The 22,857-nt window shown below is 33.8% G+C and overlaps 1 protein-coding gene across 8 annotated transcripts in view; it reads left to right on the forward strand.

Moving 5' to 3' along the window:
* The window catches only part of CFAP299 (cilia and flagella associated protein 299), a 642,486-nt gene that overhangs the window by 247,938 nt on the left and 371,691 nt on the right, over positions 1 to 22,857 (forward strand). For all 8 annotated transcript variants that reach the window (XM_017007976.2, XM_047449975.1, XM_017007977.2 and 5 more), the window contains one exon: positions 13,891 to 13,981. In XM_017007976.2, coding sequence (XP_016863465.1) covers positions 13,891 to 13,981 — 91 coding nt within the window. The remainder of the gene's footprint in view (positions 1 to 13,890; positions 13,982 to 22,857) is intronic.

Consider the following 22,857-nt stretch of genomic DNA (forward strand, 5'->3'; position numbering starts at 1 on the left):
CAGTGTTTCATTTGTTTTCTGTTGGGACTCTGACTGATAAAGTGAATTTTGGATGTGAACAGGGAGGAATAAAATCTCAGAGGATTCCACATAGTTTGGCTTGGGTGTTCAGGCAAATGGTGTATAGTTGACCATTTATATTGGAAAAGTATATTACTATATTTCTTTATAAATATGCTATAATGTAAAGTTGTTTAAAAATATTCTAGATAATTTTAACTAGCTTTTTTTCTTTTACTGTTATAACATAAGACAAAAGAAGAAAAAGTTTTGAGAAATTTTAACTTAGTGTGAGGTTTGGTTTGTAATTCACAACAAAGATAAAATGACTAATGAGGAAATTAAAATCTGCATGTCAAATTAAAGAGAACTAATGGATAGGAATTAAAATTAGTAGGGAATAATAATGAGAGAGTTTAGCAAAATTGCATGATGCAAGGTAATATACAAATTACGTTTTATTTTACATACAATCAACAAGCAGAAAATGAAAGAAAAAACTTTCCACATTAATAGTAATATCCTGTTGTTAGACATAAATCTAACAAAAGATGTACAAGACTTATTAAGAACAAATGCAATAAAACTTTATTGAAAAAACTTTAAAAATCATAAATAAGTAGTGAGACACTATTTTTAGCTTCATGATTGGAAGCTACAGTATCATAAAGATGTTTATTCTTTACAAATTGGAAATTCAAATAAAAATTCCAAGAGCTTTTTAAAAGTGGAAGTTGACAAATATATTTTAAAAATTTGGTAGTGATACAAAGAAAATCAAAGACATTTTGAAAAAGAAAGGATAAGAGTTCTTTTTTTGACATCAACATTTATCATAAATGCTCAGTCATTGACAGTGTGATATTGGCAGAAGACAGATACATAAAAACTGGAAGAAAATAGAGAAGCCAGAAACAGATCTATGTATATATAAATATTTGATACATGACAAAAGAGGCATTGAAGGTTCTTTTCATTAAAGTTTTAAACATTGCATAGGCAATATAGTGATTACTTCAGGGTGGAGAAAGATTTATTTAAAGTGGAAAAAAGTCTATAACAATGAATAATTTTGATATATTGGTATATATTCAAATTAGATTTAATTATAGAAACTCCAATAAGAGCAAAAATACAAACTACGTGTGAAATAATATATTTGCAGAGCATATAGTAAATAAAAATCTAAAATCTAGAATATATGAAACACTCCTACAAAACAATACAATATAAATAACAATAATAAAGTGGACAAAAAACTGGAATGAGCATTTTGCATGAGAGGAAATTAATATGACAAAACATCAATAAAAATAGGAAAATGCAAATTAAAAGCACTCTGAGGTTGCTTAACCTCACACTGGATTGCTTATATTAAAAAGTTCTAAATTACTACATGTTGGGAATGGTGTGAAGCAAAATGAACTTTCACACTCTCATAGTGAAGTGTAAATTGGATCAACAATTTTGGAAACAAGTGGCTTTATTTTGTAAATCTGAAATTAACAAATGTGCTATTACATAGCTCTTGTATTGCTAGCCATAGATCTTTGAGAAATGTATACTCAGAAATGTACACATGTACAGGAAATTCTAGCAGCATATTTATAATAGACCCAAAGGAGAAAGGATAAATAAATGGTTGTATATTCATACACGAGAATACAATGAAAATGAGGTACAGCTACATGCACCAACATATGTGGAACATACTAAAGAAATACATGTGGAAATGCTAAAGAAACAATATATTACAAATATATACTTTGTGGTTTCATTTATAGAAAGTTCAAAAACAAGCAAAATTACACCATATCGTTTAGGGGTACATACTTAAGTGATGTAAAGAGGTGAGGTGATGATTCTAAAATTTGGAGACTGACATAAAGAAAATGTTGGAGTAAATATCATAAAAGTGAGAAGGTAGTTAGCCATGCTGTAGGAGGTGGGAAAATGGAGTTGTGAGCAGGACGGAGTGATCAGCGGCTTCTATCTAAAGTATTGTTTTTGTTTTTATCTCAAAATAATCTTATGAGTATATTATTTTAATATAAATTCATATTCAAGATAAGGAAGTTTTTCCATGCTCTTTGCGGCAAGTTTCCTTGGTGCTTTTCATTTGGGCCTTTTTGTGGTTATCTGGCTTGAAATTATTTCCACTTTGCTAAAGAGAACTGGAGAGAAATAACTGACTTTGGTAACTAAATTCTGCATATTTCAGGAGGTGAAAATGCTCTAATTTAGCTCACATGATGAAAAAAACTTGAAGTAGTTTCAAGTTGTACAAAAGAAGTAATAAGCAAGAAAGTGTATGTAGAAAAATAAATATATTGTAGAAAATTATTACATCTTGTTCCAAAATGAGAAACAGCATATTATGGACTAAACTGTACCCATCCTCAGAATTCATATGTTGAAATCCTAACCCCAAATATCATGGTATTTGGAGACTGAGGCTTTGGGAGGTCACTAGGTTTAGATGACATCATAAGGGTTGGGCCCTCATGATGGGATTAGTGCTCCTATTAGAAGAAACACCAGAGTTTGTTCCTGCTTTCTCTGCCATGTTGATACAGTAGGGTAGCAATCTGAACGCCAGAAAGAGGGCCTGTACCAGAACACAACCATGCTGGCACCCTGATCCCTCACTTCCAGCCTACAAAACTGTGATAAAATAAATTTCTGTTGTTTACACCACTCAGTGTATGCCATTTGCCACGGCAGCCCAAACTGCCTAATACAGAGCAAATACACAATGATACATTGAGAGAAGGAATGTAAAGATTCAATAGCATTACAGATACATATGAAACATCTTTAATGTTCTTTTATTCTTTTTTCTTTTTAATGTTTGTGGGTACACAGGGTAGGTATATATATTTATGGGAGTACATGAGATATTTTGATACATGCAGAGTAAATGGGGTATCAACATTATTCATCACCTCAAGCATTTATCCTTTCTTTGTGTAATGAACATTCCGATTAAACTATTTTGGCTCTTTTAAATGTACGATAAAGTACTGTTGACTGTAGTCACCCTGTTGTGCTATCAAATACTACATCTTATTCATTCTGTTTTTTTTTGAACCTGTTAGCCATTCTCATTTCCCCAGCCCAGCTATCCTTCCCATCCTCTGGTAACCATCATTCTACTCTCTATCATCGTGAATTCAATTGTTTTAGCTTCTAGCTTCCACAAATAAGTGAGAACAAGCAAAGTTTGTCTTTCTGTGCCTGGCTTATTTTACTTAACAAAATTACCTCAAGTTTCATGTATGTTGTTGCACATGACTGGATCCCAGTTTTTTTTTTTTTTTTTTTTTTTTTTTTGAGAGGGAGTCTTGCCCTGTTTCCCAGGCTGGAATGTAATGGTGCTATCTCGACTCACTGCAACCTCCGCCTCCCAGGTTCAAGTGATTATCCTGCTTCAGCCTCCCGAGTAGCTGGGATTACAGACATGCGTCACCACGCTTGGCTAATTTTTTTTATCTTTAGCAGAGATGGGGTTTCACCATGTTGACCAGGCTGGTCTCAAACTCCTGATGTCGTTATCCGCCCACCTGGGCCTCCCAAAGTGCTGGAATTACAGGCGTGAGCCATCATGCCTGGCCCGATCTCAGCCTTTTTATTCCATATGTATATGTACTACATTTTCTTTAACTATTCATCTGTTGAAGGACACTTAAGTTGCTTACAAATCTTGGCTATTGTGAAAAATACTGCAACAAACATGAGCGTGCAGACATGATATACTGATATACTTCGTTTTGGGTATAGGCTTAGCAGTGGGATTGCTGGTTCACATGATACCTCTGTTTTTAGTTTTCTGAGGAACGTACAAACTGTTCTCCATAGTGGCTATAGTAATTTACAGTGCTATCAACAGTGTATCAGGGTTCTCTTTTCTCCACATGGTCACCAGTATTTGTTATTGCCTATATTTTGGATAAAAGCCATTTTAACTGGAATGAGATGATATCTCATTATAGTTTTGATTTGCATTTTTGTAGTGATTAATGATGTTGAACACCTTTTTATATGCCTATTTGTCATTTGTATATCTTCTTTTGAGACATGTCTATTCAAATCTTTGGCCTATTTTTTGATTGGATTATTAGATTTCAGCCTATACAATTGTTTGAACTCTTTGTATATTCTGGTTATTAATCCCTTGTCAGAAGGGTAGTTTTCTTCCATTCTGTGGGTTGTCTCTTTACTTTGTTGATTGTTTTGTTTGTTGTGCAGAAGCTTTTTGACTTGATGTGATCCCATTTTTCTATTTTTGCTTTGGTTGCCTGTGCTTTTGGGGTATTGTTCAAGAAATCTTTGCCCAGATCAATGTCCCAGAGATTTTCTCCAGTGTTTTCTTGTAGTAGTTTCACAGTTTGAGGTCTTAGATTTAAGTCTTTAATTCATCTTGATTTGATTTTTGTATATGGTGAGAGATAGGGGTCTAGTTTCATTCTTCTGTATATGGATATTCAGTATTTCTGGCACCATTTATTGAAAACTCATTTCCCTAATATATATTCTTTGCACCTTTATAAAAAATGAATGCACTTGTGGTGTATGAATTTGTTTCTCAGTTCTCTATTCTGTTCCTTTGATTTATGTATCTGTTTTTATGCCAGTACCATGCTGTTTCAGTTACTACAGCTCCATAGTATAATTTGAAGTCAGGTAAAGTGATTCATCTAGTTGTGTTCCTTTTACTTAGGATAGCTTTGGCTATTCTGGGTCTTTTGTGGTTCCATATAAATTTTAGGATTGTTTTTCTATTTCTGTGAAGAATGTCATTGATATTTTTATATAGATTGCATTGAATCCATAGATTTCTTTGGGTAATGTGAACATTTTAACAATATTGTTTCTTCCAATCCATGAACATGGTATATTGTCCCATTTTTTGGTGTCCCCTTCCATTTCTTTTATCAATATTTTATAGTTTTTATTGTAGAGATCCTTCATTTATTTGGTTAATTCCTAAGTATTTAATTTTGTTTGTAGCTATAGTAAATGGGATTAATTTTTTATTTCTTTTTCAGATTATTCACTTTTGATATATGGAAATGCTACTGATTTATCTATATTAATTTTGTATTCTGCAACATTACTGAATTTGTTTATCAGTTCTAATAGTTTTTCAGTGGAGTCTTTAGGTCTTTCCAAATGTAAGATCATCTCATCTGCAAACAAGGATAATTTGACTTCTTCCTTTGCACCTTTCTAATTGGATGACCCTTATTTCTTTTTCTTTTCTGATTGCTCTAGCTAGGACTTCCAGTACTATGTGGAGTACAGTGGAGAAAGTGGGCATCCTTGTCTTATTGCAAATCTTAGAGAAAAGACTTTCAATTTTTCCCCATTAAGTATGATACTAGCTGTGGGTTTGTCATATTTGGCTTTTATTGTTTTGGGGGTATGTTCCTTCTTTCCACAGTTTTTGAGGGTTTTTATCATGAAAGGATGTTAAATTTTACTAAATAATTTCTCAGCATCAATTGCAATGATGATATAGTTTTGGTCCTTTGTTATGTTGATGTGATGTGTCACATTAATTGATTTTCATATGCTAAATCCTCCTTGAATCCCTGGGATAAGTTCCACTTGGTCATGATACATAATCTTTTTCATATGTTGTTGAATTCAGTTTGCTAGTATTTTGCTGGGGATTTTTGCATCAATGTTCATCAGGGATATTGGCCTGTAGTTTTCTTTTTTTGATGTATCTTTGTAGGTAGTTTTGGTATCAAAGTAATACTGGCCTTGTAGAATGAGTTTGGAATTACTCTATCCTTTTCTATTTTTCAGAATAGTTTGAGTAGGATTGGTATTTGTTGTTCTTTAAATGTGTGGTAAAACTTAGCAGTAAAGTCATTGGGTCCCAGACTTTCATTTGTTGGGAGACTTTTAATTTCAGCTTTAATTTTGTTACTTTTTATTGGTCTGTTTATGTTTTGGTTTTCTTCATGGTTCAATTTTGGTAAGTTATACATATCTATACATTTATTCATTTCATGTGGGTTTTCCAATTTATTGGCATAGAGTTACTCATAGTAGCCTCTAATAATCCTTTGAATTTCTGCAGTATCAGTTATAATGTCTCCTTTTTCACTTTCATTAAATTTTTTTTTTTTTGAGAACAGATCTCACTCTGTCTGCCAGGCTGGGATGCAGTGGCACTATCACACCTCACTGCAGCCTTGACTTCCCAGGCTCGTGTGATCTTCCCACCTCATCCTCCCAGGTAGCTGGGACTACAGGCAGGAGCCACCATGACCAGCTAATGTCTTCTTTTTCACTCTGATTTTATTTATTTGGGTCTTCTCTTTTTTTTTTCGCAGTCTGGCTAGAGGTTTGCTGATTGTATCTTTTCAAAAAAACCAATTTTCCCTTTTGTTGAACATTTATATTGTTTTCTTCATTTCAATTTAATTTATTTCTGATCTTTATTAATTTCTTATACCAATTTTAGGTTTGTTTTGCTCTTGCTTTTATAGTTTTTAAAGATGCATCATTAAGTTGTTTGTTTTAAATTTTTGTGTTCTTTTGATGTAGGTGCTTATAGCTATAAACCTTTTTAGTACTGCTTTCGCTGAATCCCATAGGTTTTGGTATGTTGTGTTTCCCTTGTCATTTGCTTCAAGATATTTTTAAATGATGAGTTCATGTCCTTTGTAGGGACACGGATGAAGCTGGAAATCATCATTCTCAGCAAACTATCGCAAGGACAAAAAACTGAACGCCGCATGTTCTCACTCATAGGTGGGAACTGAACAATGGAACACTTGGACACAGGAAGGGGAACATCACAAACCGGGGCCTGTTGTGGGGTAGGGGGATGGGGGAGGGATAGCATTAGGAGATATACCTAATGTAAATGACGAGTTAATGGGTGCAGCACACCAACATGACACATGTATACATATGTAACAAACCTGCACATTGTGCACATGTACCCTAGAACTTAAAGTATAATAATAAAAAAAAAAATATATATATATATATATATAAAATCTCTTTCTTAGTTTCTTCATTGACCCACTGGTCATTCAAGAATTATAAATAATTTTATCTGTGGAAAGGTAGAATTATTTTCTCCTAATTTATATAAAGGATAAAACAGAAAAATGTCATGTTTTCTGGGAAATGTACAAAAATATTATCTCTGTCTGATAGAGCAATAGGTGCCCCATATCAAAATACAGTAAAAACATATCTTCCATATTTAACTCTCAAATGAGTTTATATATTATGGTAAATAAAATTATATTTTCTCATCAATTTGCAAATAATTTTCCATTTTGGCCTCTAAAAAATAGAATTTAAATTATTTGGGACCATGCAAATATAAATATATACAAATGGTTCTGTCAGTAAATTTATCCGTGGGAAATAGAACTGTTTCTGTAAGCTATGTTTTCATAGATGTGTTTGTTTGTTTTTTAAGAAGATAACATTATAGATTTTGTATAATACACTTTTACTCAACTACTGTTTTTCACTTTGCTCTTCATTAATTTTTTCCAAACTAAGTATACAACACATTTTAAGGAACTAAGGCACAGAGAGGTTGCATTATATATTCAAACAAGTGTGAAAGAGTTGAATGTAAATTCTCTAAATGTGAAATATAGGCTAGATTGGAGTTCTTTGGCTTAAAAAAATTAAATCTACCTTTGAACAGAACAGTTGATGGAACTTCAGTCTAGACTGGAATGACAATAATAGCTGATTAGCTTTCCTTAGAGACTGCAAGACCAGCCGACTCTGATTACTCCCAGGGGAACCCCCAGATAAAGTCTGCATACCTCACTCCTCCTACTCTCCTACACCCCTACTGATTTATGTTCCTTCTCCCCAGTGAATTCTCATTGTTTTCACAATGTAAAAATATTATGATGTAGTGTTTATGATATGCTGCTTTGATATATTGTGAGCCTTCATTATAGTGAAATAAAGCCTGAGAATTAGTGAATCTAGAATAAAACTGAATACCAACTGATTATAATGAAGTTATAAATATACTTCCTATTAGAGTTTATTTGAAAATAATTAAAATTGTTTGCAAAATGTCTAGCATAGGGACTAGTACAAAGTCAGTGCCCGATAGCTAAAAAGTATTGCTGTTAGAATACATTTAATCCCAGATTTGAATTAGGGATTATTAAGAAACTGCTTATTAGAAAACATTTTTTTTTTTTTTTTTTTTTTTTGAGACGGAGTCTCGCTCTGTTGCCAGGCTGGAGTGCAGTGGTATGATCTTGGTTCACTGCAACCTCTGCCTCCCAGGTTCAAGCGATTCTCCTGCCTCAGCCTCCAGAGTACCTGGGACTATAGGTGCATGCCACCACCGCCAGCTAATTTTTGTATTTTTAGTAGAGACAGGGTTTCAGCATGTTGGCCAGGATGGTCTCCATCTATTGACCTTGTGATCTGCACACCTCGGCCTCGCAAAATGCTGGGATTACAGGCATGAGCCATCACGCCCGACCTAGAAAACATCTTAATGATTAATCAAACTTTGTTTGTTAGAACACTTCCAGTTATACATTAAAAATCCAAAAAATAATTGATATCACAAATATGTAGTGAAAGAATTTATTTAAAAAATAAACTCTTAAAAAGTAACTCTTGAAAATAAGTTTCTACTTTAACAGTTTTCCAATTATTTTCCTTTTGTTATTCATTCGTTTTGAGTGTTAAGCTAATAATGTCAGTTTATGTGATAATGATATACAGACAACATACTTAAATCATAAAACCAGTAACCTAATTGTTGAAGATTAATAATATGTTTATAATCATTCAAGTAGGATTATATAAATAGCTTTAGCTATTGATTAATCATGGTTGGTAAAATTTAACTCATCCATATAACTTTTACCACATTTTGAAAGTGCAGTGGAGTATGAACAATAAAGATGGAGTATTTGCCTTTGTAGAACTTATAACACTAAGATTTTGAAACAGACCTACTTCACTTCTTGAGGAAGTAACTGCTTTTGTAATATTTATTTAAGCAAGGTTTCTTAGGTCACTGACTGTTAAATAAACCTAGTTAAATAAGAGTAATGCATGTTAAAGATTTAAGAATTCCTTACCTCACACTCTGCATTAACTTTCATTCTTTTCCAATATTTCCTCTTGCTAAGAAGTTTCAGGTTCTCAGCTGTCGCACAATATAAGAAGGATTATTATGTAACATTTTTTTCTCTGCTTCGGATAGCTTTGGAGCCAAAGATCCTTATCCTCTCTGTCCCAAATTTATATAATACTTTTATCTTCCTCATTGAGTTTATAAGAAATGATGTAAGTCTATGTATGCGAGACTTGCATAATAATAAAAGAAGAACAGTATGAACTTAGGATATTTCAGGATAATAGTCATTTTCTTGGACTAATTATATATTAATGATGTTTGCTGGTTAATGATACAGTATGATTGCTTTAGACCACAAGTTTTACATCTGCTATTGGGCCTAGATATATTTAGCACAGCATGAAATCAAGGTTCAGAAAAATGTGGTTGTTTGGACTAAACAGTTGATAAATGAGTAGGAATTAAAGATTGATATTCCATCTTATATTTTAGTTTAATTTTTATTATCTTGTGCTATTATTTAATAGACTTAACCTATGACTGTCTTAGAAAATTCATTTTAGTTATGTAAGTAATACAGTCTCCTGGGAAATTCTTAGAATATTTCACCTAAGGTTAAATTCCAATTTGATCACCAAGCCAATCGCACAAGAGCATCTTTTTCCAGAAAAGTGAACAAATTTCAAATGGTCAAGTATCTTTTTGGATTAGGTGGGTAAAAAAGTAACAGAAAACCCCAAAATGACAGTGGCTGAAAGCAAATATAAATTCTTTTCAGTCTCATATTCAAGAAGTTCAGCTGGTGTCACTCAAGGCTGTGTTGGTATTCTGAAATATCAGGGACCCTGCTCCTCTCTTTGTTTCTCCATAATAGTGGCCTCCAACTTATGGCCAAGATGGCAGTTGGAGTTTCAGTCATTATATTGCATTCTAGCTACAAGAAAAAAAGTACCCTTCCCTACTTTAAATACACGCCTTAGAAGGCGCAAATCATTTTCACTTGGCTCTTAATGTGCAAAAGTTAGTGACATGAACATAACTAGCTGCAAAGAGACTAAGAAATGTGGTCTTTATTCCAGGCTGCTACATGCCCAAGTGAAAACAGGGGCTTTCATTGTTACGGAAGAAGGGGGAACAGTGTCTGCCATAGTTAAGTGTCCAGGGACAGTAAGAATTCTATTGCCTATTACCTTATTTTCTTGTCCAGCCCAGATATCTGCTGAAAACCTCGGCCATTAGCAAGAGAGTCACGCTTAGCAAAATATTAAGAGTCCCATCCTTACTAGTGAATGATGCCTAAAAATCTATTTTTCTGGCATTTTGTATCTGATAGATCAGGGATAATTTTGATTTTCTTTGGAACTTTCATAAAGATCCACTTCCAGGAATAGTTATAACAACAGCAATAAAACAGTAAGTTGCAAAATATATAATAAAATGAAAAACTGACCACATGATACTATATATATTTTAATCAGTACACAAATATATAGATACATTGTAGACATATATCTATATATAATTTAAAAAACCTTGAAGGCTACAGGCAAAACTGATGTGATCATTACCTTTTGTGCTGTGGGATCAGGGCTGATGATCAAATTGGACTTTATCTGTAAAGCTCTAAAAATTTACAGCAAAATAAGCTATGCTTGGGAAGGTAGTGGGAGTAGGAAGTAGACATATTTTGTGGAAACTCTTAGGAATTCTGTAGTACCCTAACTGTATAGTCATTGTATCAATTACAGGTTTTTATTGTGAGCAACAGAAACCAATTCTAATGAACAAAATCAAAAAGGGAATTGGAAGAGCACTGATTATCATAGATTCAAAGACAAAGTTGAATAAGACTGTAGTAGGAAGTAAGGGTAGCCACTATAACTCAGCTACCTTTCATTCTTGTGTCTCTGTTAAAGATTTACATTCTCATGAGGTGAAATGACATTGACAAAGCTTGAGGTGTATTCATTAGCTGAGGTTTGGGAGGTGGGAGTTCTAAGTAATTGGGTACCTTGATTCTACTAAGGCAAAGAGCGTGGAAAAGACTGTTGCCCAAGTGAAAGTTAGGGTTGTGTTGCCAATAAAAAGGAAGAAACAATATTAGGAGGCAAAAGCAATAGATGTCTACAACTGTCACAGAAGACTAAATCTATTGACACTTCCTTCCTTCAACTGTAATTTTTAGGATGCTCTGTGGGTATGTAGGGGAAGGTTTGGTTTTGAAGCTAGGATTAGTGATTTTAATTCTCAAAAGAGCCTTTACTTGGTTACACTACAGTGAACCAAGTTAACAAATTTTCTGTACTATCAGAATTTGCTCAGAAATTCTTTTCTTTCCTGCTCTTATTTTCTGAGCAATCTAGTCTCAACCTTTGTTGGTTATGCTATAGGAAGCTATGAGTGTCTGAGCTACTGTTCACAAATATTTACTAAAAATTCCTAGACAGGATTGTATTTTCTCACCCCATTGATTTCAAGGTTGGCCATAGCACTTGCTTTGGCTGAGAAAATATGAGTAGAAGTTATATGTGTTACTTTTAAGCAGAAGCTCTAAGAGACAATGTGTGGCTATGTTCTCTTTTTCCTCTGCACAATAACAAAAGATGGTTCAGATAGAAGATGTTTCATCAGTGTCTCAGTCCCCCAAGATGAAGAGCCGCAGTAAACCTGCTATTTATGCATATTATTATTGAGAAGTAATCTCTTGCAATTTTAAACCACTGAGATTTGGGCCATTGGTTACTACAGTATAACCTAACCACTGTTGATTTATGTACTTGTAAAATGAATTCTCTGTTCAAATTTCACAGAGAATTTCCAACAGACTGTGGTTTTTAAAACAGACCATAAGCAGGAAATTAGGTAGAAGCTGGATAAGTGATTAGAAGCTTATCCTGTGAGCAGTAGAAAATATGTAGATTTTCTAAACAAGCAACTGACAAAATTACTTTTCTGTTTTAAACATTTAATATTAAAATAGTACATAGTACATATCGTAACATGGAACACTCACTTTTGGACAGAACAGTGAATTAAAGAAATTCTCAAATATCTGATTCTCTCCTTTGGTACTAATTAGTAGTTATTTTCCATGTATATTTAGGTTTTTTATTATTAAGTGATATATATATAGATATTAAGTGAGATATATATATATATATATATATATATATATATATATGACAAGCTGAGGAAGATAAAGCCAGAAAAGCAAAAGCAGACAAGTTATGATCAATTTAAAGAGCTACATTTCTAGATCAATAACATAAACAGTAGGTTGCAATGATTTAACCTAGTAGTAATTGCTCCTTAACTCTTTGCAAAAAGCAATCACTAGGTGTATTTTATCTCTTAAATATTTCCCAAATCTATCATTTCCTTCCTATCCTTACCATCACTTCTTTAAATCAGATATTCATCATCTCTTTCTAAAGGTTTGTGATAGTCCCTTAATTAATCCCTGCAGTGTTGCTCTCCTACAGGCTACCTTTTTCAAAGTTGCTGAATACTGTTTCTAAAACACAGATTTGATTATCTTGCTTCCTTGCATTAGACCCTTTTGGTTCAACGCTTTCTGGTAGCATGAGCACACAAACCTTCCCTGAAAGGGGTTGTAAGAATGAGTTCTAAGACCAGACTCTACTATCTGGACTTACTAAATATTTATAACAATATGTTTATTATAATGTTAACTTCTATTAATATTACCTGGTTTCTCTCTCAATTCTTGTGTTTACTCTCTGTTTTGCCATTACCCGATTGCCTTGCAATTTTACATTTGAATTTCTTTATTCCTTTGTATTTACTGATAACTCTCTCCTTCCACCCCACAAACTGATTAATACTATCTCAAGTTTTAACATTAAGTTCAAGAATAATTGGTTTTAAATTTGAGATTAAGTGACTTTTCATTGAATAAGATACTTCTTTTATGAACTCCTCTGATACTCGGTCTATATCTCTGTTATTCCAGTTATCACATGGTATGACATTATGTTTATATATCTGGTTTATGTATCTGTTTACCTCTATGAGACCATAGTCAACTTGAGAGCAGGAACTATGTCTTGTGCATCATTGTGCCCTGATACAGTTACTGGTTCATAGCAGACACATAATGAAAAAGTTTGTGGAATATGTAAGAAATTGCTAAATAAAGAAAATAGTATTATTTCACAAATCACTCTTGAACTCACTATTATGTGGTTCAGTTTTGCTTGATTGAGATCTTTGTGATACATTTCTTTTAAAATATATTTCCAGAGAATGATATTTTTTGAATTCTTGATGCTTCCTTTCATCTGACAAAGATAGGTCAACCTAGTTTCGTTTCCTGCCTTGATTATCTCTACTCATAGAGCTAAAATTAATGCTCTACTCCAGTAACTGCATAGCATAGGTGTCTAGTATTTTAATTTCCTTAAATTAATAAACTGTACTAAAGTTATAGGCAATTTAAAATTTTTGTGAGAAGTGAGCCATACGAACATGTTGACTTTTCATGATATGTTAAAAAAGAACGAAATGGGCATGTAAATGAAATTATATCTGCCATGAGTCTTGATATGGATATATTATTTAAAGGCTTGATTCCAAGTGTTTATAAATAAAGACTCTATTACTATATACAATTAAATTGAGGAATCTAGTAGATCATGATTTTATTTATATGGTTTTCATGTTGCAAGGAAATTGTCACTTAAAGAAGCATTGTTGTTGGCTCCAGAGTGTTGGAAACATATTTGTTATCTAATATATTATAACTGAAGATCTGCCTTTTACAGGACGCTAACAAGTGCTGGTAAAGACCTACAAGATAATTTTCTGACGGCCCTGGCAATGAGAGAAGAAGACAATCGCAGTGGAAAACTGAGTGTAAGTACATTTCATCCAACAGCTTAAAATGTATACACTAAATGCACAATTAATATTAAAAAATGTAACATTAAATATCTTTCTTAAAGTAATTTACAAGATATAAAATATGATTCCTCTTTATTAATTATATATTATAGGAATATACATAGAAAGTTAAAAATTATCATTTACATCTCTAGAAGTAGCCAAATAGTTAAAAAGAAAAAGGATTCTAAACATTCATTGCAGAGAAAATGCCTATGCATGGCAGAATGGTTCTTTAACCTGGGTAAACCCTCCTGCTTCTTTTAAACTTAACCTCTTCTTACATTCTCCCAAGTTGCATCACCCACTGACCCTAAGTTTTGTCCCCTGATTTTATGTGACTTCTAGAATATAGTACCATAGTCTGCCTTTTAGTCCTACCTTGGAAGATGGGATACAAATCACGTAGTAGAAGAACTGTGTTATCATTATTATTTTGAATGATCCAAGGAGAATATACTTTTACTTTATTAAAATGTGTGCTATATCAAATATGTAGAGAATGCGAATATTATTTGGAATAAAGATTTACTTTCACACTTTGTTAATATGATATTTGTGATAACAGTCTTTGTAAGTCTTAACATGTTCCAAATCAAATTTAATAGAAAAGGCAAATATTCATGCTAAAACTGTAGTAAGTGACTGACTTACAGAAAAATAATCAGAAATAGTGTGATAAAAAATTTAGAGCAACAGAAAAATATGTATATAAGGAGATCTATTCTACCAATATTTTCTCAATAAAAAATTTGGAGTTTTTCCCACTATCAGGTCCACTGAAAATATCACATGCAGGCAAAACCCTCAATGTAGTTCAGAGAGAGAAAAAAATCATACCATGTTTAGTTAATAGAATAGAATTAACCCCGACTTAAAATAAGGGAAAATTTCTTGTAGGAAGTAGGCTGACAGAGGTTTTAAAAGGGTGAGGATGGAAATATGGGCAGAGACTAGACTTTGGACAGCTTTAGTAATCACAGCAGAAAAGTCTGAATGAATATATGAGCTATTACGAATGCATTTTCTCAGAAATGTCAATGGAAAAGTTATAGAAATTAAATATTTAAACGAGGCTAAGACTAGGACATAATTTAATCTCCAGAAATGTTGCAATAGGAATGGTAGAATTGCAGAGGATGCTTTAATGAAGATGTACATCTTAAGAGTATTTCATGTATGTGATAGAGACTAAGGAAAATGTTAGAGGTCAAGATGTGGTAATTGAAGAAAATACTAGTTAAAAATTAGAGAGGTAAAATGGATTATTTTGAGACAATAATTTCCAATTTCTTTCCAGACTACTCTGAGGTATTTACAGAGCAGATCAACCTGTTTTATTTCCTTCCTTGGTGTCTGTGATATAGTTATCTTATAGTTTTTCTACTTTCTTCTGACTTTTTAACTCAATCTCTTTCTTGGGCGGATCATCTTATACCTCCAGTTGACCTGTATCTCTTCTACTATACACATTTTCCCTTAGTGAATCAACAAAACCCATGAGCCTACTGATTCTGTTTCCTGCTACAAAAACAGAAACCTAGATTTTTTTTCATCTATTAATTATGTTTTTTCACTTAGTCGTTAAACAGGTAGTGATAAGTGGCTCTATATGAGGCATCGTACTAACTGCTTGGGATACAATGGGTGGCAAGTGCTTATGGAGCTTACAGTTGTTTGGGGCAGAAAATGAATAATCAAATAATCATTATTTGTATAGAAATAAAGCCAAAATGCAATGTGACAGGTGCTATGGAGGAAAAACATAAAAATCTCTGATTGTGTGAAAGTGGGTAGAGGATGATATAATCAGATTTTCAGACAGAAAACATCAGTGTGCCTTTAGTATAGGGAATAAATTATAGAAAGGATAAAGCGGATGCCAGCAGATGCACTGCAAAATCAGATGAAGAGAAATGATTTGAGAGCTATTTAGAAGGCAAATTTGGCAGGATGCTGTGATAGGATATAGTTAAGGAAGGGATAGAAAGAAAGAGGGTAGTCTTTGGAGATAGATAGATGGTACTGCCACTCTGAAATGTAGTGTACTAAAAGATCAGAAGTAGGGCACAGAGATCATGTGTTTGATTTTGAACATACTGAATTTGATTTGTTTTTGACAAAAGAATATGTTCAGATGTTAAGAAGCTGGAGAAAAAGATCTGAACTCTACTCCAAAGTTTACCTCCATATTGCTATCCCTCAAATGCTCAACATTTGCTCTATTACTAAGTTATTTTTTTCCTTTTCCACTTATCAGATCTCACATCCATTTGGTCACCAACCCTGGTCAATTTTACTTGGTAAATAATTCTCAAATAAATGTGGGAGAGGAGGCAATGAAGCCAAAGAGATGGGCAACAGCCAGGTCTAAGGGCTATGTTGCTGTGCTCAGTAGTGTGGACAGAGCTACTGAGATGAAGGTGATGAATGTCCTTAAAATAATGTATACAAATGGTTAATGTGATCAGACATGCAACTTAAGAGTACACTGGCAGCAGTATATGGGGATAAGTGTGTCTCCATAGAGATAGGGAATGATATATAAGACAGGGAGGTCAACTGAGAGGCCATTGTAACAGTTCAGGCAATACATAATAGATGCATAATAGAAGCCTGGGATAAATAAATGACAGAATGAATGGGAAGATAAAGATAGATTGAGTGATTACTTAGGAGATAAAATCTGGAAACCATGTGCTTGTTTTTATGTAAGAAATAGTGATTTGTAGGATTCAGTGGAGAGTGAGCAGCTGATAATAATTTTAATAATGGAAAGACATATAATCCTGGCTTTAGAGGATTTAGTATAGTTCAGTGATTAAAAAACAGATTTTTGAGGTAGACAGTAACTAGACTGAAGTTCCAGACTCACTGCCTACCAAGTATTATGGATTTCAAAAGGACATTACTGTATTTTCTAAGCCACAATTTCCTTCTTTGTAAGGTGGGAATTAAAAGAGTAACCTCATCTTAATATTTATTATTGAAAATATAGATTAAATATTTGTCACACTGTATGATACATGACAACTATTTAATATATAATAAATTTTATAATAAAGGAGTGTTATAACTGCTAAAGCTATAATTGTGAATAAAATAGATATAGAAAATATGCAATACTTTTGCTGCTAGTCTTTAAGGAAAACATTGATTGGATTTGAATTTCTCTTTAGAAAAGATAGTTGAAACAGTTCTTTGAGACAAACAGTTGCTTATAGATTTTATTAGAGATGTAAAGATTGTTGATCAATGTAAGATATTATAGCTATCAGAATATTTTTTAAAGAAACACTATAGATTTTTTTAGTGTTGTAGGAACGACTGTCCATTTTAACTTATAGTCTGTGCAAACCGCTTTACTATTTGCCAAAAACAAAGATGTATAGAACATGGGTCCTCCCTATAGTGCTTCTAATATAATAGGATTATGTAATTCTTTCTAGTGAACAAGCAGCTGGGAGAGGAGATAATTATTTTTCAAATGGTAGTAAACTAAGAATCCCTGATTTGTTGAGTGAAAAAAAATAAAACATTTCCTTTCTAATCAAAGACTCATGAAGATTATAATGAGAGGTCACATGCTGTTCGGGGTGGGAAAAGTGAGACCCATTGACACTTATTTTCCCACTGAATGTTGACTATGTAAACAGTCACATGGATGACTAGTTTTGGCTTTGAAATATGCATTATTGAAGCTAGTAAAAAAACATTGCCTACAGCTTTTCCTTCAGAGTCATTCAAAGAAACCACTGTACCTGGGTCAGGAAAACCTATGAATTAGGTGGTTCCTAATATACCCATTTCCTGTGTTGAAATCTCTATGAAACATAAGATTGCGTTGTATATGACCAATAACATTGTGCTGACATGATCTTTTCCCTCCTTCCTATTTTCCAACTTTTATAAAATGTTCCCTTTAAAGAAAATGAAGGTATTATACAGATGTTTATTTCTTTTTTAATAGAATTCATGCTTGTCCACTAATAAACCCTTATGGAAATTATATGACTCACACAATCTTACCCTCATTTTAAATAAATTACATCAACGTTTGGGGGAAAATGTATATCAACATTTATTTCACCAGAAAAACTATAGCTGGATAGATCTTTAATTTCCTTATTTCCTGGATAAAAATTTGATACAGAGGCAGTGAGAAGTGCAGGAAAGAGCGAAGGTTATGGAGTCATCTTATCTGAGTTTGAATCTTGGATTTTCTACTTATCACAAGCTGAAGACACATTTCTCAACTCAACACAGCCTGAGTTTCCCCACCCAAAGTATGGGGATAATAATTTTCACACTGCTGAGATATTTATAGAATAAAATTATATAATGTGTAAAGCACATCTAAGCCTAAAACTTGGTAGGTGGTTTTTTTTCTTTTCTTTTCTGAGACAGTGCCTTGCTCTGTTGCCCAGGTTGGAGCGCAGTGGTACCATCATGGCTCACTGCAGCCAAGATCTCCTGGGCTCAAGTATCCTCCCACCTCAGCCTCCTGAAAAGCTGAAACTACCAGCATGTGTCACCACACCCAGCTAATTTTTTTATTATTTGTAGGGACAGGGTTTCCCTATTTTGCCCAGGCTAGTCTTGAACACCTGGGCTCAAGTTATCCTCTTGCCTGGGCCTCCCAAAGTGCAGGCTACTGCATTATGGATGTTCAATAAAGCATAAATACCATGTGTTATGTTAGGTCAGGTTCCCTAAAAGCAGAGCATAGGATGCCAATTTTAGTGCAAGCGATTTATTGAGAAAGTTCTCTCATCTAAAACCTGTTGTGGCATGATGGAAGCATGATACTATAGAGGAAGAAGCTAGGCAGAGATGTGGTTTCAGTTGAAATCTAGTCTTAGTCTGATCTCACAGAGAGCTCTGGAATATGAGAGATTGTTCTGCCTGCGGCAAGGTGAATTTGCTTGTATACATTTCCTTCCCCATTCCTCTCTCCATCAATTAATCATCAGCTGTCACAGAGGTGGGAGATGGAGAAGTGGCTCCTGTCAGCTAAGGACAGTCCTTTCAAGGAGGGTACAGGTGGGAACCATTAGCTTTTAACACCTGCAGGTCTGGAGCTGGGTACATCTGCCTGGGAAATGAGATCTAAGAGGGACACTACCAACATCCACTGCAGTGCTCTAGAACTACAGATGCTAAAGCTTAGTTCTAGCCATTTTAGGGAAAAAAAAAGTATGTCATTGTTTCAATAATGTAATCTTATGTAAGCAAAACATAATTTTATTTAGGTATTTAATCAATCATTTTATATGAAAATTTAATGACATCTTTAGTGTTACATACCTGACATGAAACATAGCCATTTGAATTAAAATAAAATGTATTTGGTCATTTACAAATGACCAAAAGCCCAAATATGATTTGGTGTCCAAAAATTTTACATGTGTAATAAAAAGCTTTCCCAGTTAAATCTTATGTCTGCTAGTACATGTCCCATATATAATTCATGCTGTGTTTTTTGAACTGACAGAATCAAGACAGCCAATTATACTTAATTAAGACAATTAAAAAATGATAATAATAATGATTATAATTTCAGCAATAGCTAACATATATTAAAAGCTTACCAAGTACTGGGCATTTTTCATAAGTGCTTTATATCCTTGAACTCTTAATATTTACTACATATATGAAATAGGCATTATTTTTATATCCACTTTATAGATGAGAATTTTGAGGCACGAAGAGGTTGAACATCTTATCCAGGTTTATATAACTGGTTAGTGAGTGACTTAAATTCAAATCTAGGCAGTCTGGCTCCAGAGTCTGATTCTTAACCAGTATGCAAATGAACAAAATTGCCCTTCAGAGAGCATATTACTTATGACAGTGGGGTGTTAGCTCAGAAGTATCAGATAAAACTGATGTTAATAACAACAGTAGATACATTAGTAGCTTGTATTGCATGACCATCACTGCTCTAAGCACTTTATATGTTAACTCAATTACTCCTGATTTATATCTTTATTTCTGGGTGACAAAACAAGCCACAGAGAGGTTAAATATTTTGCCCAGTGTTCATGGTAAAACTCATGTTTAAACTCAAGCAATCTGGGTCCAGATTCTGGGCTCATTAACCATTGAGCCCCCAAAGAAAGAAACTCATCCATGGAAAACATGAATATTACTTCCATGTGATTAGTTAAATATGAAAATATGGGAAAATATCTTTATACCTTCTGGGAAGAATTTATTTAACAAAATGCTAAAATCACAAACCATTAAAATTTAGTAAATCTGATTTCATTAATACTAAAATCCTTTATTGACAAAAGATAATTAGCAATGTTTAAAAACAAGCCACATATATATGTAATACATAAAGCTGACAAAGCATTTGTATCAATAACTTAAAAAGAATTTTTACTAGTTAAAAAAAATCCAATCAACAACTGAACAGATTATAAACAGCCAATTCAGGGATGAGGAAGCCAAATAGTTCAATCAATAGGAAAAGACACTCAGCTGTACTAATCTGATTGCTAATCAGAGACAAGAGAATTAAAATGAGCTGTATTTCATACCCACGAGGTCGACAAAAATTTAAAGAGACCAGTTACTTCAAATGCAAGTGAGATGTGAAGTAAGAAACCATGTTTGGTGATGGCAGTAGAGTACATTGTTAGGCAACTTTAGAGAGCAGTTTGACAATATCTAGTAAAGAGAAAGATGTGTATAATCTTTATACTAGTAGATAAATGATTGAGGGAAACTCTCAATCATATAAGCAAGGAGATAATTACAAGCCTGTAATTATCATGTAATTGTAATTGTAGCATTGCTCATAATAGCAGCATAACCTGAATGTTCATAAACATAAGAACAGGTTGTTGTCCATTCTTACAATGGGATATTATACAGGAATTAATGCAAAAAATATAGGTATTATTTATATCAACATAGGATCATCTCAAAGACATCGTGTTCAGTTAAAAGGAAAAAAGGCATGTTTCGGAATGATGTGTACAAAATGACACTCCGTCACTGATGAATTCGTTCCTTCTTGTGTCTCAGTTTCCTTATCTGTAAATTGGATTACTAACTGTATTTAATAGAAAGTGTGAGGATTAAATGAATTTATACAGGTAAAAGTATTTAAAACACTATTTAGAACACAGAATGAGCTGGGCACAGTGGCTCATGCCTGTAATACTAGCACTTTGGAAGGCCGAGATGGGCAGATCACGAGGTCAGGAGTTCGAGACCAGCCTGACCAACATGGTGAAACCCTGTCTCTACTAAAAATACAAAAAAATAGCCGGGTGTGGTGGCGGGTGCCTGTAACTCAGCTACTTGGGAGGCTGAGGCAGGAGAATTGTTTGAACCCGGGAGGCGGAGGTTGCAGTGAGCCGAGATCAAGCCACTGCACTTCAGCCTGGATGACAGAGTTGAGACTCTGTCTCAGAAAACAAAACAAAACCATGCACACGGCATCCTTAATAACTTATTATTTAAAATGTTTATATAAAGTTCAAAAACTGACACAATAATTAAACATTTTTATGATCATACTCATGTTCTAATCATATAAAAACTGTATAGTACACATTGAGGAATAATATACCTTAACTTAAGGAAAATGGTTACATTGTGCTAGGTAGGAGGAGGTTGGAAAAGAAAGGAGGGAGAAGAGTAGGATTGAAGAATAGGCTTTTACATAATGCTTTGTTTCTTTAAAATTTATGATTCCAATATGGGAGAATGTTAAGATTTGAGCAAGTTGCTTAGCAGGATGTTGGCTACCTGAGTATTAGGTATAATAGTTATGTTAATAAATATTTGTTATATTAATCTTTCTTAATTTACTTTATGTTTGAAATATTTTATAGTCATACATGGAAGCAAGAAACAGATTATAATACTTTAGGAAATTTTTTTTTTTTTTTTTTTTTTTTTTATTTTTTTTTGAGACGGAGTCTCGCTCTGTCGCCCAGGCTGGAGTGCAGTGGCGGGATCTAGGCTCACTGCAAGCTCCGCCTCCCGGGTTCACGCCATTCTCCTGCCTCAGCCTCCCAAGTAGCTGGGACTACAGGCGCCCGCCACTACGCCCGGCTAATTTTTTGTATTTTTAGTAGAGACGGGGTTTCACCGTTTTAGCCGGGATGGTCTCGATCTCCTGACCTCGTGATCCGCCCGCCTCGGCCTAGGAAATTTTTTAAATGAACAATTATTGGTGAATTTATTATATCTAGTAACTTGTTTACAAAGAAACAAACAAACAAAAATCATGCAGCGAAGAGGTCGAACTTTGGCGTGGCACCTCACGATTATTTCTTCTCTGGAAATGGAATGCAAATCCAGGACAGGTGCCCTAGAGACCATGGATGTCCTCACTAATCCCTAACCCTCTCCACCTAGATGATCAATTACTATTGAGCCAATAGGTTTCACTCTGTTGGAAAGGGACTTTAGAAATGGAGGGGCACAGAGCCAAGGAGTCACTGAGGCTAATCTTTTAAAATATGTGATCATAATCTCCTGCTACTGAGGTCCCTAATATACCCATGTATCTGTCCCTTTGTTTGGAAGGGCCTTCAATAGGGTCTTTGAATTTGGGAGATACTGCAGGACCATTTCAATAAATCCTCCATTTTGCTTAGAGTTCAATTTGTGGTTTACAGCAAAGAGAACATTAACTACAACCTTAAAATTAGTATGGTTTATTTTTAACAAAGAGAGAATAATCATTTAGTAGAATCCTTTTGTGGGAACAGATTTTTACTAATTCCATCCAGAAGAAACTTTCAAAAACATTGGTAAACTGGAGTCTATGGATTCACACTCTGTGTGCAACTAAGAAAGCTATTATTTCTTTTAAACTCAAT

Source organism: Homo sapiens, chromosome 4 (assembly GCF_000001405.40).
Source record: "Homo sapiens chromosome 4, GRCh38.p14 Primary Assembly".
Classification (NCBI taxonomy): Eukaryota; Metazoa; Chordata; class Mammalia; order Primates; family Hominidae; genus Homo; species Homo sapiens.